The 13,397-nt window shown below is 51.6% G+C and overlaps 1 protein-coding gene and 1 long non-coding RNA gene across 8 annotated transcripts in view, besides 6 other annotated features; one reads left to right on the forward strand and one right to left on the reverse strand.

The window, feature by feature from the left end:
- The window catches only part of ST3GAL1 (ST3 beta-galactoside alpha-2,3-sialyltransferase 1), a 117,040-nt gene extending 105,824 nt beyond the window's left edge, over positions 1-11,216 (reverse strand). For 5 of the 6 annotated variants that reach the window (XM_017013736.3, NM_173344.3, NM_003033.4 and 2 more), the window contains exon 1: positions 11,022-11,216. The gene's annotated coding sequence lies outside the window, so the exon portion shown is untranslated. Of the gene's footprint in view, positions 1-9,438; positions 9,681-11,021 lie in introns of those variants that run through there. The other variant, XM_047422105.1, reaches the window with a different exon arrangement.
- Positions 8,976-9,045: an enhancer, noted in NCBI's record as "active region_28005". NCBI's record gives its function as "activates an Ori minimal core promoter by ATAC-STARR-seq in GM12878 lymphoblastoid cells {active_cell/tissue: GM12878}" and the evidence as "EXISTENCE:reporter gene assay evidence [ECO:0000049][PMID:35858748]".
- Positions 8,976-9,856: a biological region, named in NCBI's record as "H3K27ac-H3K4me1 hESC enhancer GRCh37_chr8:134581917-134582770".
- Positions 9,003-9,856: an enhancer, noted in NCBI's record as "H3K27ac-H3K4me1 hESC enhancer chr8:134581917-134582770 (GRCh37/hg19 assembly coordinates)". NCBI's record gives its function as "activates a minimal SCP1, AML or CMV promoter by ChIP-STARR-seq in naive H9 embryonic stem cells {active_cell/tissue: H9 hESC(naive)}" and the evidence as "EXISTENCE:reporter gene assay evidence [ECO:0000049][PMID:30033119]".
- Positions 9,216-9,435: an enhancer, noted in NCBI's record as "active region_28006". NCBI's record gives its function as "activates an Ori minimal core promoter by ATAC-STARR-seq in GM12878 lymphoblastoid cells {active_cell/tissue: GM12878}" and the evidence as "EXISTENCE:reporter gene assay evidence [ECO:0000049][PMID:35858748]".
- ST3GAL1-DT (ST3GAL1 divergent transcript) lies at positions 9,901-13,185 on the forward strand. 2 transcript variants are annotated; one of them, NR_186509.1, is made up of 2 exons: positions 9,901-10,199; positions 10,387-13,185. It is a non-coding gene; the product is annotated as an ST3GAL1 divergent transcript (long non-coding RNA). The 2 variants fall into 2 exon arrangements; NR_186508.1 differs by having other exon boundaries at positions 9,901-13,185.
- Positions 11,226-11,715: a silencer, noted in NCBI's record as "silent region_19565". NCBI's record gives its function as "represses an Ori minimal core promoter by ATAC-STARR-seq in GM12878 lymphoblastoid cells {active_cell/tissue: GM12878}" and the evidence as "EXISTENCE:reporter gene assay evidence [ECO:0000049][PMID:35858748]".
- Positions 11,906-11,965: a silencer, noted in NCBI's record as "silent region_19566". NCBI's record gives its function as "represses an Ori minimal core promoter by ATAC-STARR-seq in GM12878 lymphoblastoid cells {active_cell/tissue: GM12878}" and the evidence as "EXISTENCE:reporter gene assay evidence [ECO:0000049][PMID:35858748]".
- Positions 13,186-13,397: the final 212 nt, after the last annotated feature.

Raw genomic sequence — 13,397 nt, forward strand, 5'->3', positions numbered from 1 at the left:
AAGCTGCCCTTCCCTTCCAGAGTCCCCACTTAGCCAGGGATATAGGATGACTTGGGAATTACGTTGCATGGGGCCTGAGGTCTCAGGCTTCAGACAGAAATGGTGCACTTATAAATCCTGGTTCTGCCACTTTCGAGCTAAGTGACCTCGGTTAAGTGACTTAACCTCTCTGAACCTTGGTTTCCACATCTATAAAATGGGATTAAGAAAAAAGTGGAAACATACACTTTACAGAGAGTCACTGTAAAGACTAGGCTCCCATAGTAAACGAATGAGAAATTCTAATGAGGGGAAGTAGGCAATGCAGCCCAGCCCAGGTGGAGGGCAGACAGCCTGTCACGTAGAGTGCACAGTTAAACTCTTAAAGTTTTCTAGAAAATGCAATCAACTGAAATTATTTTCTGTGAAGCCTTACTCAAGGTTTGCCCAGAGCCATCTTTTTTTTTTTTTTTTTTTTTGCTTGCTGCCAGTTAATCAGTTTGCCCCAAAAAATTTCAAGCAAGATCCCCTGTTCCCAAACCGTCTGCAAGATTTTCCTCCCCTCTGGCCTCTGTTGCTTGACTTTGACTCCATCTCCTTAGAAGCTGATTTCCACCTCTGCAAGAAAAGGATTTACATGCACAATAACTAAACAATGGGCAAACCACCCAACTACATGTCTCCGAGTGCCATGAATTCCTTGAGCTTTCTGGAGGTTCCACTGAGACACACATACCTGGGTCTCACCATCAGAACCCTCCACTGCCTCCCCTCAGTCTCACAGGTGGCAGCTGAGCTCTCTGACATCCTAATGCTAAAGCTGGTTCTTGGCCAAGTCAGCTTGTGGTTCCGGTTCACTCCTATTTCACATGAACTGTAAATGGTGGTCGTGGTGGTTGTGTTATGTTATGTTACGTTATATTGTTGTGATGATAATTTGGGCACCATCAGCTGACTCTAGGATCTAATGAGGATGTAGAGACTTAGATTTATGTTGTTTTTTTTGCCACTGTTCTCACGCTCAGCCAAGGAGGGAGCACGGGGGTGAGGTGGAGGCAGTAAGGTACTGGGGTGCTGGGAATGAAGCGAGGTAGCTCTACCAGGGCTCAAGGCCTAGATCTGCCATTTCCCAGACACTCGACCAGATGTTGATCAAGTCAACTCACTGTGCTGTGTACCTCTCTACAGTTCAGAGTGGGAAGGGTGATTGATGGGGACTCTAAAGGAATAAACTAAGGACGACTGTGATAGAACTGCAAGGTTGGTGAAGGTCTGGGCTTATCCCTTCACCAAGAGTGATCCACAATGGCGTATACCTGTAGTCCCAGCTACTCAGGAGGCTGAGGTGGGAGCTCAGCAGGCAGAAGTTGCAGTGAGCCAAGATCATATACTGCACTCCAGCCCAGGCAACAGAGCAAGACCCTGTCTCCAAAAATAAAAATAAAAAAAAAGAGAGACCTACCAAGTAGAAATGATAATTTCAGACACACAGAAGATCTGGAGGCAGAGGCCCATGTGACCTTGGCCAGTAAGTCACTTCTCCCCTGTGAATCCACATCTTTTTTTTTTTTTTTTTTTGAGACAGAGTCTCATTCTGTCACCAGGCTGGAGTGCAGTGGCAGGATCTCAGCTCACTGCAACCTCCGCCTCCTGGGTTCAAGTGATTCTCCTACCTCAGCCTCCCGAGTAGCTGGGACTACAGGCACACACCATCATGTCCAGATAATTTTTGTATTTTTAGTAGAGATGGGGTTTCGCCATGTTGGCCAGGATGGTCTCGATCTCTTGATCTCGTGATCTGGCCACCTCAGCCTCCCAAAGTGCTGGGATTACAGGTATGAGCCACAGGGCCTGGCCTGAATCCACATCTTTATCTGCAAAATCAGGAGGACCGTCAGAAGAGTTGAACTGAGGGCCAACTCGGGTCAGGGCTGTAGTTGCTGGTGTCTGTGAATGTCGCTGGGTTGTTCCGGGTGTTTGAGCTCTTGACCACTGGCAGTTCTTTGCCCTTGTTAGGGCTCCAGCACACTAAAGGCAGGGAAGGAGAATAGAGTCCTTTAATACTTGGCCAATTCAGGGGATTTATTTTGGGCTCCAGTCGAGTCTTCTAAGGATCTAAGAAAAGGGTTTCTTTCTTTCTTTCTTTCCTTCCTTCCTTCCTTCCTTCCTTCCTTCCTTCCTTCCTTCCTTCCTTTCTTTCTTTTTTTTTTTTTTTTTCCCACTGGGCCTTTTATTTCCAAAAAGGTAAATGTCCAATTAGATAGATTTTTGTTTTTTTATGTGGAGTTGTTTTAGGCTTTTTGAGCTTGAAACAATATTTTGGAGTCATTCCACCCTCTCAGCTAGAGAAGTAGCTGGATTTGCTTTGGTTGGGGTTTATTGGTTGGGTCTTTCTCAAGAGCTCTCTGCTAAGTAAATATGCATGAAGGGACTTTTTAGCCACTCTGGTGTTTTAGTTCACTGTGTATTCAAATGGATTTTTTTTAATGTAGCAAAATCTATTACAGTGCTATCTATTGCATTTGATCTTTTCTTTTTTTAATGTAGCTAATGAAATTCAGAGAAAGTACTTTATTTGTACACCCCAATGTGTACTTTCCAAAAGTCACTTGTAACCCTCTTTTTAATTCTGCCAAATAATTTGGAGCTAATGTTCTTTTCTTCTCAACTTTTCTGAATTATTGCAAGTAATTTTTAAGTCATATTTTATACTCCATTAAGGGCTTTAGAATCATACATGATTACATAGGATTTGTTTAATAAAAATTATAGAAGGCCATTGTTTTGGACTAAGTTTCCGCACTAGGCCCCAACAGGGCCGGCTGAGAATCAAAATGGAGTTACCCACGCTAAAGTTCCAGGTCCCCAAATCCAAACTGAGGCGGGATAGGTAGTCAAAAAGGGAGCCATGTCCTCGAGATGTGGCAACCGTGGCATGGCGACCACAGGGTCAACACGATAAGCGCCAGCATTCACACTGTAGTCCAGTTCACTCAAGCCAAACTAGCTCCAGTAAGGAATTTCCCCCGTAAGAGGGTGCACATTTTGATTTTACCTGTCCTCAGACTGAACCTTTGCTCATTATAATAGTAAAAAACACACTCCCGGGTGGAGATTTCAGATGTTAATGAGACATGTAACATACAAGCAAGCAGGTACAGCTGCTGCACATGTGCACCCCGAAGACCACCCAGAACATGCTTACTGCTAGCGCCTCTTCCTGCCTCCTTATGAATAACCGTGTAAGGCTGTCATCAAGGGAGTCTCCCCAGTAAGTCAATGCTGTCCCATCCTCACGAGCAGCCCGCCCTGAATCCTGTCTCAGAGTGTACTGTCTATTCTGCACGTCACTTTCAGAATATCCTGCCTCTTTTGCAACAAATCGCTCCATGCTGCATCTCCTTTGCTGTGTGTCTCTTGTTTAATTTCTTTTAAACTAAGGAGACAAGAACCGAGGTTTTACAACAGCCATCGACAAAACTAAGTTGTCATCTGACTTCCTGAGAAATCAAGAGAGAGTCAATTTCTCAAATAAGCAGGATTAAATTGTCAACTGGTATGATCATGAAGTTCTCTCGGCTTTAATCCTTAGCACAAAAAAAGGCAGCCTAAAGTAACCGGATGTTAACTAATCAGTTATTTTTCTAGTGTTCTCTCTAAATGTAATGAGTACACACTTTGTTGCTTCTGGTTTCTTCAGTCCTGTTTATAAAGCCAACCTCCTCTGCTCAGCTCACTGGAAAACCTATTCTGTTTGTTTTGTGGAACGAAGTGTTGCTCAATTCTAGAATCACAATAAAGCCAATTTAGGTCTTTAAATTTCTTGTCATTCTCTCCTTTGGCACTTTCATGTGTTTTAAAGAGAAAATACACACACACACACACACACACACACACACACACAGAGTCAGAAGAAATGAAACAAACATCGTCAGAATAACTGGAAGAAAGAAACTTTTAACCTACAAATATTCAAACCATATTATTTGAATGCTGAATAGGTTAAAAGGCCATGTTGAAGTACCACTCACACCCACACCGCCCTGTCTAAATCTTGACCTTCTCAGGAATCAAAACTAACATTTGTTGAGAGACCTTTACTGAATAAACTTGTTTAGTTTTCACATCAACTGTACAAAGTGTGCCTTCATGATAGAAGAGGAAGCTGAGACATAGAAAAGGTCAGTAATTTGATCACTAAGTAATAAACCTCCAATTGAAACCCAGGCAAACCTTAACACTTAAACTATTCTGCTTCTCATTAAGATGCTACTGATAACAATTGAAGGTCTTCATAATGTCTTACAATGGATCTTCTTACTTTACTAGGGCTGATAAGACACAATGGGTTAAAATGTGGGCTCCCACCAGCTGTGTGGCCTTAGGCAAGGGGGTTACCCTCCAGTTCCTGGGCATCTTACCTGCCAACTGGTAATCTTGTGACTACTCCTCCCCACCCCCAGCTGTTGCAGATTCAAATGAGATAACAGCTCTGTGTGCCTGTGTGTGTGTGTGTGTGTGTGTGTGTGTGTGTGTGTGTGTGTCTCCTCCAGGCCTGCTCCTAATCCACCTCCACCTTGTCCTGCCCTGGGGGGCTCCATCAGGGAGCTCCCTGCCTTTGGCTGCTGGGTGGGCTCAGCTCTTGGTGCCACAGAGTTGCAGAGGGCAGGACAGAGGAGAGCAAGGTTGCAGGGTTGATCCGCCTGGCTCCTCTCCTGCCAAGTTGAGGAGGGGGCCTTGTGGTCTCTCTCTTCCAGAGGCTTCTGGCAACTATTGCGATGCTCTCCTGGTTCCCCTAGCCCTTCCCCTACCGTGCCACTTCTTCTGGGGGTGGTAAATGGGCCCAGGTGCTACAGCATCCCCTGCTGACTTCTCTGAATGTGGGCACCATCTCTGGAAGCACATCTTTATTCAGACCCTCCATTCAATGCTTCCTGCTGAACCCCAGAATGATAAGATGTTCAAAATACTTGGCACTACTGGGTGTACATTAAACTATAAAAAGTAGATGCTACTAAAATTCTTATCAATAAGGCAGGTTCCTGTGCTTCATTTTGTGGGGTCCTCCTAACTCTCCTGTAACAGAGGGAGTGGGAATTTATACTACCATCTCCCAGGTGAGGAAACGAAGGGTCAAAGAGGTTAAACAACGTGCCCAAGGTCCCCGGCCCGGAGCAGATGGGCCAGGGCCAGGGCCAGGGCCCAGGAGTTCTGTGTCCTTGGCCAGTGGTTTCCCTGCAGGGATTCCCCTGACTCTGTAGAAAACACCTCAACTCCAGAGCCCTCTCTAACAGTTGTCCCAGGTGGGAACCACAATAGCGTCCACTGCAGGTGCCTTGAACTTTGACACAAATCCCATCCCTGCTGGCCAGCCAGGCCACATAGGAAGGGCTCCCTCCAGGTGGCTTATGATGCTGGGCACCCCGACCATCTTATGCTGCCCCCCACCTCCCCTGTGTGTCTCTGCTCCTGGTAACAGTGCTTTGGGTGGCTTCTTAGGCCAGGGTTCTGGCTAACTAGTAATGCTGTGTCCTGCCCTAGGGACAAAGAAGCCAAAAGTTTGACACAACCCATAGGAATGAGAGGAGCATGCTCCCCCAACACAGTCATTAGGCCTTACTGCTTCCAGGCGGATCATTCACAAACCATTTTACCTTAAAATCAGCCTCCTCCTACTTCAAGTGCTTTTCCAGGAGTTTTCCAAAACTTCCTGCCTTCAGTCAACTCCTCTGTCTCCCGTAGGCTCTGTCTTGAGGAATGCGATCACTTTCTCTTATAAACAGACTTAATGCAACTGGAATCAAGGAGGCTCTGGGACTCCCGCATGCACAACTCTCCCAAGAATCCTCTCCCTTAATCCTCCTGGGGGCCCTGCATCCCCCGCATTGCAGGGGGTGATCACCCACATGCACCTCAAACCTGGCTCACGGAAATGCAGGGACTTGCTCCAGCTCACTCAGCCGGCCTGGATAGTAGCGTCCCCCTGAAAACCTGGGCGCTTTCTCCTACCTGCCACCTGCCATGCCACCCTCCCAAATCAGCTATGAAAATCTGAGATAAAGTATACGGATGAGCATTAAAAATAAAGCACTAAGTTTTATTTTATTTTTTTAAAAAGGCAAATGCAAAGCAGCCACTCTCTGTTTTATACACGGGCATTCCAATGCTTGGAGGCTCTCATGGTGTAGGAACTTGCAGGCTGGCTGCAAGGCAACCATTCCTCTCACACAAACAAACCAGAGATCAGGACCTAAGGAGGGAAATGGGGCCAAAGCACTGAACCTCTAAAATTCCCAATTCCCTTACCTCTTCAGAACCATGTGGAACAGGCTTACAGCCAATCTTTTATTTTACTTTATTATTATGATTATTATTATTTTGCACACACAGGGCACATGATGCTTTGATATTGAATGTATTCAGGAAGATATCTTTGCTCTCTTGCAGTCTGACTCATCCATCTCTAGAACACCCTTCTGTGGGTCTCTCAAGGTGGAGGGAACCTTTCCCTTCTCCGTTCCCATTTTGCTTAGCACCTGTGTATTTATATACGCAGCCTGACAGGGTATGTCCTTGTCCCCCTCCCCACAGCACTGTGACCTCTGGGACAGCAAGGAACAAGGACCGAGTAGTCTTTCCTCTCTGCATCTCCGCACTTTGCATGGTGCTCCTGGAAGGTAATAAGTTCCCAGTAAATGTTGGCTCAACTGAAATCAAAACAACCCAACCACCACCAATAACAAGACCAAATAAACAATAAAACCCCAGATTTTACAGTCCAGTGACTTCCCCTCTGAGCCTCAATATTTTTACATTAAAGTGAAAGGGCTGACCAAAGTGATTTCTAAGGTCATGTTCAGCTTGTGGATGGGAAGCAAAACAGGCCCTGGTGAGATCACTGGGGTTCCTTCTGCAATATGTACCATTTGGGAGTCCCCACAGATGGCACCCTGGCTCTGTCAGGTTTCAGACCTCAGAGTCTGAAACTTCTGGGACTGCTTTCAAAATCTAGCGTTGAGAACTGCTAGAAAATGACTTTGCCAAGCGGGTGTGGGCTCCGAATGGTCCTGGCCACTCTTTGAGAGGGGAGATGCCCTTGGCATGGGGTAGTAGACAGTCCAGCTGCCCCAAGCCAGGGTTGTCTGTGATACCGGGAGGGTTTTGAGGATGATGCTGGCTGAAGCAAACATAAATCAGGTGGTGGCTGTCTTCACAAAGAGAAGCTTTTAATGGACCCTCAGTGACGGGCAGCAGAACTCTAAAGCCTTGCTCTCTTTTTTTTTTTTTTTTGAGACAGTCTCACTCTGTCGCCGAGACTGGAGTGCCATGGCACGATCTCAGCTCACTGCAATCTCCACCTCCCGGGTCCAAGTGATTCTCCTGCCTCAGCCTCCTGAGTAGCTGGGTACTACAGGAGCCCACCACTATGCCCGGCTAATTTTTGTATTTTCAGTAGAGGCAGGGTTTCACCACATTGGCCAGCTGGTCTCAAACTCCTGACCTCAAATGATCCACCCACCTCGGCCTCCCAAAGTGCTGGGATTACAGGCCTGAGCCACTGTGCCCAGCCAAGCCTCTTATTTTGAGAGTGAAACTGAGACCCAGAGCCTGGAATAGTTTGGGAGCCAAGTTGCAAAGTAACTGAGCGCTGCCACTGGGACTCAAATGCAGGCTCTCACAGGGCCCCGGTCTGGGCTCCTGTGACCAAATTAGAGCAGAAGAGAGCTCTCAGCTCCTCAGGTGTGCCAGCAGGGATGCTGAAGTTTCCACAAAGTCTACACAACGGAACGAAGCTGCATCTAAGTCTTATTCTAGAATTCTTTGTGACCGGGCCAGCTCTTCCATCAGCCTGTGGAGTGTATGCACACAGGCATGCAGAACTCACTGGAAAGCTTTTACAAGATGGCTGGTGGATTTTATTTTTTGCTTTCCTGGTCGCTTTTGGTGGTGTGGGAGGGGCCTAGAGTGAGGGTTAATGTTTAGATCCCTGGCCAAAGCTCTACCCAAATATAAACCCTTTGAGTCAGCAACCTTCTACACAGGAACTGACTCAAGCAAGGTTACCTGACCAGAAGCCTCAGAGTCACACATGGGAGAGGGCCCTTCCTTGGGTAATGTCAACTGCCTGCCTTTGGGTGGTGTCCTGGCTCGGGGGCTGCTTGGTGGGGAGGGGAGACAGAGATCTACCTCACCCCCAAAGACCCAGGACCTAGAAGGACTCCTTCCTGTCAAGCTCACAGACGACTTCATCCCCATAAGAAGGGCTTCCAGATCAGCGACAGCCAATGCTGTGAGCGCCACCAGGGAAGGGGGGCAGTACAGCCCTGATTACAATCAGCAAGAAGGCTGCTCAGAAGGCAGTTTCCGCCTGCTGCTGCAGAGCTTCGAGGAACAGACTCCACACTCCCTAAGAAACCCTCCTCTGCCATCACTTCTAGCAACGCTTCCTGTTTTTCTCTCTCACCCTGGGTGGGGTGCTGTGGCCTCCCAGCCAGGGAGGTAGGCAACAAAGGCCCTGCTCAAGCCCAGGTCCTGGCCTTGTCCAATCAGACTCTAAACAGCAAATGCCGGCCCAGAAAAATGCAGGGAAAGCAAACTTCAGGGTTTGTGGGATTTTGAAAAGGCAAGAGGAGAAGGAGCCCTCTATTCATTCTTTATTTAGCAAAAAGTGTACGATGGAACTTTTTTCCCTAGACCTGAAGTCAAGGTATACACATACACACATGTAGAGTATGAACTACCTATACATACACACATTCACTTAATTATATGTATTATCGCCACTCGCAATTATGCAGAACGTATTTTGGAGAATGTATTATTGGCCTCATTTTGCAGATATAGAAACTGAGACGCCGAGAGGTTAAGTCTGGCGACCAAAGAGAGACAGAGACAGAGAGACGGGAGACTAGAAGAGGCCCCACGCTGTACCCAGATATTGGCAGAGGCTGAGGGGCACGGAGTGGTGAACTCTAGTCAGTCATTTCAGCCAACCATGGGATTTCAGAAAACAGCCGGCAGGGGTCCTAATGTTTGGGGCAGGAAGGGGAGGTGCGGGAAGGCACTGAGGGACCCCCGCACTGGGCGCCCCTTCCCCACCGCAGAGACAAGCGGCAGTTTCCACAGCAGCCGGCAGGGGGCAGTGCACCTTGCCTTTTCGAAGCCTCTGGGCGCTTGGGCAGCGCGGGGTAAAGAAAATCAGGAGGCTCCGCCCGCAGCTTCTACGAACAGGCCAGGAGTAGAGCCCCCGCACGTAGTAGGTGCTCCAGGCACGTCTAGAAGCCTAAAGGGCTTGGTCGATACATTTGAACTCCATTTTAGAGACTGGAAGGGAAGAAGGGGGCGTCCGGGCCCCTGCCAGCACCTTCCACCTTGGGGCCTTGTCAATGAACACTGCGTTAGCACCTACGACGTGCCAGGCGCCCTGGCGACTATTGGAAAACCCGGCTCCCCTCTCACCCCGTTTTCCTCGTTGGCGAGTCGGCCTCGCCTCCTCCTCCCGTCTCTTCCTCTCACCACACACACCCAGCCGCAGAGCGGGGGTGGGCGCTCGCTGTCTCCCTGGAGAACCAGCTCGTCGCAAACTTGCGGGGCTTGGGGACCCGCGAGGGGGAGAAGTCGGGAGAGGCCAGGGGTGCCCGGAAACAATCACGAGAAAGCCGGGCGAATGCCTGATGCAGGGACGCGGCGAGCCAGTCACTGCCCTCAGGGTCACGGCTGACTCCCTCTGCGGGACTCGCCCAGCCCGCGAGACGCAGTGACCTGCCCAACCCCCACCCCCTTGCGCGCTTCTGGGTGCGCACGTGTCCCCTCGCCCAACACACCACCGAGCCCCGCGCATGGTACGGCCGCCGAGGACCCTAGCGTAGGAGGGAGGAGCGAGTCAGGGCTCCAGCTGACGAGCAGAGCCAGACGATCCCCACACGCTTCCTGGGAGACCCGGCTGCAAGGCCAGGCTAATGCGCGCTCCGACGTCTCTGTGCCAAGCCGGGGCGCAAGCTCAACCCCCATCTCAAGTTCAGCCGCGCTTCCTCCCGCAAGGTCACGCTTAAACACTCGCGCAGAGAAAGGAGGAGCGGAAAGTTGCGCCACCGTCCCGATTCCAAACTAACTGTACCCTCACCAGAGCGCCTCGCCCCAGGGTCACCGCTGTCCGTCCCCGTGCGCTCCCAGAAGGGGTGGCCCTGCCCCCACGCAGGTCACACACACGAGAGACACAGGCAAGTTGCTAACTTTTGTCAGATTATTTCTTGGGAGCTGCGACGCCTCACGGGGTTGGGGCGGATTCAGAGTTTCGAGTTGCCACTAACACGACTCCGGCCGTGCTCTCCTTGGCCCACCCGCGTCCCCCACTGTCCGCCACGCCGCGTTCAGCTCTCTTGTCCCGGGTGTCAACTTCACCCCCAGATCCGGAGCAGCGCGCTCTGACGGCGTCCCCGGGGCCGATAGCCACCTCCCGGATCTGCGCCTGCTTGCAGCGGATTGGGGGACTCGATCCGGATACTGTCCCACGGCCGCTCGTCCAGAACACTGGCGGCCTCCGCGGTGTCCCAGCCTGTGACCCCAAATCCGCTCGAGAGCGCCTGAGCCCGGCCACCCAGCGAGGTCTCCTCCCACGGGCGGCCCCAGCGGAGGAGATCCCAGCCCGGCGCCGGGTGCAATGTCACTGGGGCTGCTTTCGGGAACCGCTGCCCGGGACTTGGCGTAGGTTCCCCACAGAGCTCCAGGCAGCTCCTCCAGTGTCGGCCGAAGACCCCTAAGCCCGAACCTCCACCCCGACCTTCTTCCTCTCCCAAAGCCCTGGGTGGTCGCCGCTGCCAAGGAAGGGGTCTCCCTTCGAATGTCTTCCACTAGAATCCCGGGGTCTTCAGTCCCAGCTCCACTGTCACACCCTCCTAGTCCCCTCCCCACCCCTTCAGTTCCCGGGTCCAGACAATCAACCTTCCACTCCGAGAATCCACAGGAAACTGCCCGAGCCCCAACTCAGGCGGACGCAGCCCCCGCGCACCCCGAGCAGGGTTCGCCTCCGCGCGCGCACTCACCACGGCTGGAGACACGCTGGAGTTTCCGGGATTTGGGCATGAAGGGGTTCGGAGGAGAATACAGGGGTGTGGGTGTCCCGGACACTTGCCCCCTTCCCAGCTCACATCGCCTCTTCCTTCTCTCTCCGCTCTTCTTCCTCCTCCTCCTCCCTCCGGTCTAGGGCTCTTTGTCTTTGCAAAGTGTCGAAACTGTCTGGCATAGTGGGCTCCGCCGGCGGAGGCTGGAGCCGAGGAAGCGAGGAGGCGGGATGAGGGTGGGAGAGGGCTCGGGAACACCTTCCCCCGGGTGTAACGGGAGTGAAAGGCGGGGCGACCGAGGAGGGGCCGCCTTCCCTGGCCGGCCGGGGCCGGGTGCCAGGGCGCGCCAGAGCCCAGCCACCGCCTCCCCTGCGCGCGGCCCTCCCCTTCCTCCGCCCAGTGCCCGCCCCTCCCGACTCTGCGCCTCCGTTCGGCCCCGCCCACCCCAACTTGGCTCGGCTTTCCCTTGGCTCCGGGCTTCCTGCAAGCCGAATTTAGCTCTGCCAAGCCACGTGGACCGCAGCGGGCTCGGCAGAGGCCGAGCCTGGGAGACGCCGGAGGCGGCGGCTGCGGCGCGGGGACCTGATCGGCGCCCCGAGAGGAGCTCCCCGCTCTCTGGACGCGGCCCTCAAGCTGGCGGGGCTAAGGAAGAGCGCCCGGGAGGCCCGGGAGCCACTGGGGTCCGTTTCAGCAGGAAGACGGGCACGCACCGAGAGGATGGCAGTGCCCAGAAGAACTCGAGTCGGGGGCACGGTGGGGAGAAGGGGCCGATCCCCTGCTGGCGACCGGGCAGAGCCACCCACTTCCTCTAAGGGCGCGGGACTCGAGGTGGGATTTAGGGAGGGGGAAGGGAGGAGCGTGGGCTGGACGACTCTTGCGGCCAGAACCGCGTTCAGAGCCACAGAGCCGGGCACTGCGGCCGGCCCTGGTCCCGGCCCCGGCCCTGGCCCAGCCCTTGCCCTGGCTCGCCTGCCGCCGCTTTTTCCTTCCAGATGCGGAGGCTGCGGCTGGAGCTTGGGGTTTGCGGATTAGGCTTGCAGTTATTCAGCCCTCCCTCTTTTACAGGGAAGCGGGGGCGGTGGAGACTTCTTTTGCTGAAAGGCAGAGTGCAGCGCTTTGATGCTAAATGCAGTACACAAGTCATGTAAATCTGGTTTTACGGTTCTTAACCCCTTACTGAGACTACCTCTTTCGCAACTTTTCGGAGGAATGTTAGAGGAAAGAGGCACAGTTTGCCTTTGGGGTCATTGCATCCTTCCAGCGCCCCTTGCTCCAGCTGGAGAGAGATCAACCTTTTGCAGTGGAAGGGGAGAGTCCCCCAGCCTTTGTTTCATCAGACGGCTGCTGTAGTACAGGGATTCAGGCCAGGGCCCGCATGGCCGGACTTCTTGGTTCAAATCCTGCACTGCCACTCAACGGATGTGTGAGCTTGGGCTAGTGACTGAACCTCCCAGCCTAGGTGACTCTGTGCCTCGGTGTCCTCATCTGTGAGAACCGACCTAAGAAGTGTCTGTCTGATAAAGCTGTTGTGATGAGTTAGTGAATTCGTACACATAGAACCTTTAGAACTGTCTTTGACATGTAGTAAGTCAGCTGTGTAGATGGTGGGTTTCTCCAGTGTCAGGTCCCTGCCCACAGCAGGAAGATGACCTGTGCTAGAAGATGGGGGCTAGGGTGTTGGGGAAGACTTCAGGGACTTGGGAGAGAAAAGGAGAAATATTCAGAGATGAGAAAAGTAGAAGAAAAACCAGCTTTTAAAAGGGGGAGGAGAGAGAATGAGAAAAATAACTACTAGAAAGGGAAGGAAAAGATGAATAGCCTTTTAGGTACTTCGGGACCTGCTCTGAGACCTCTTGCCTGACGCCCTTGGTTTTTGATAGAATTCTAGAGAAGGGGTGAGCCCTTTTGTCTGCCTGGACACATCCTGTGGGCTTTCCTCTTTCTGAAACTCAGGTCAAGGTGTTCACTGCATCTCCAGATTGCTTGTGTGCATGGGAGGAGGGGGGCAGAGAGTTCTGCTTACATCGGCTACTGTCCCCTCCACCAGCAGCGTCTTCCAGCAAAGAAGAGCTTCTAACATGCACCAGACTTTTAGCTTTGGCTGGGAATATCGTCTGGGCCAATAAAGAGTTTTTGGATGAAATAACAAAAGTGTTGTTTATTGTATGGATCAAATAATGTATGGGAACATATTCGAAAAATAGAAAATGCTATACTCATATAAGACTATGCTACTATATCCTAGTAGATTCTGTGGAAAGAGGATCAGATTTGGCAAGTAAGGAGCCCCAGGTCATCCAGCTGTTGCACTTTGCAGCCAAGAACCAAAAGCAGCTCAGTTTTAGCTGAGTTCTTACT

The sequence above is a fragment of the Homo sapiens genome, chromosome 8, assembly GCF_000001405.40.
Source record: "Homo sapiens chromosome 8, GRCh38.p14 Primary Assembly".
NCBI lineage: Eukaryota > Metazoa > Chordata > Mammalia > Primates > Hominidae > Homo > Homo sapiens.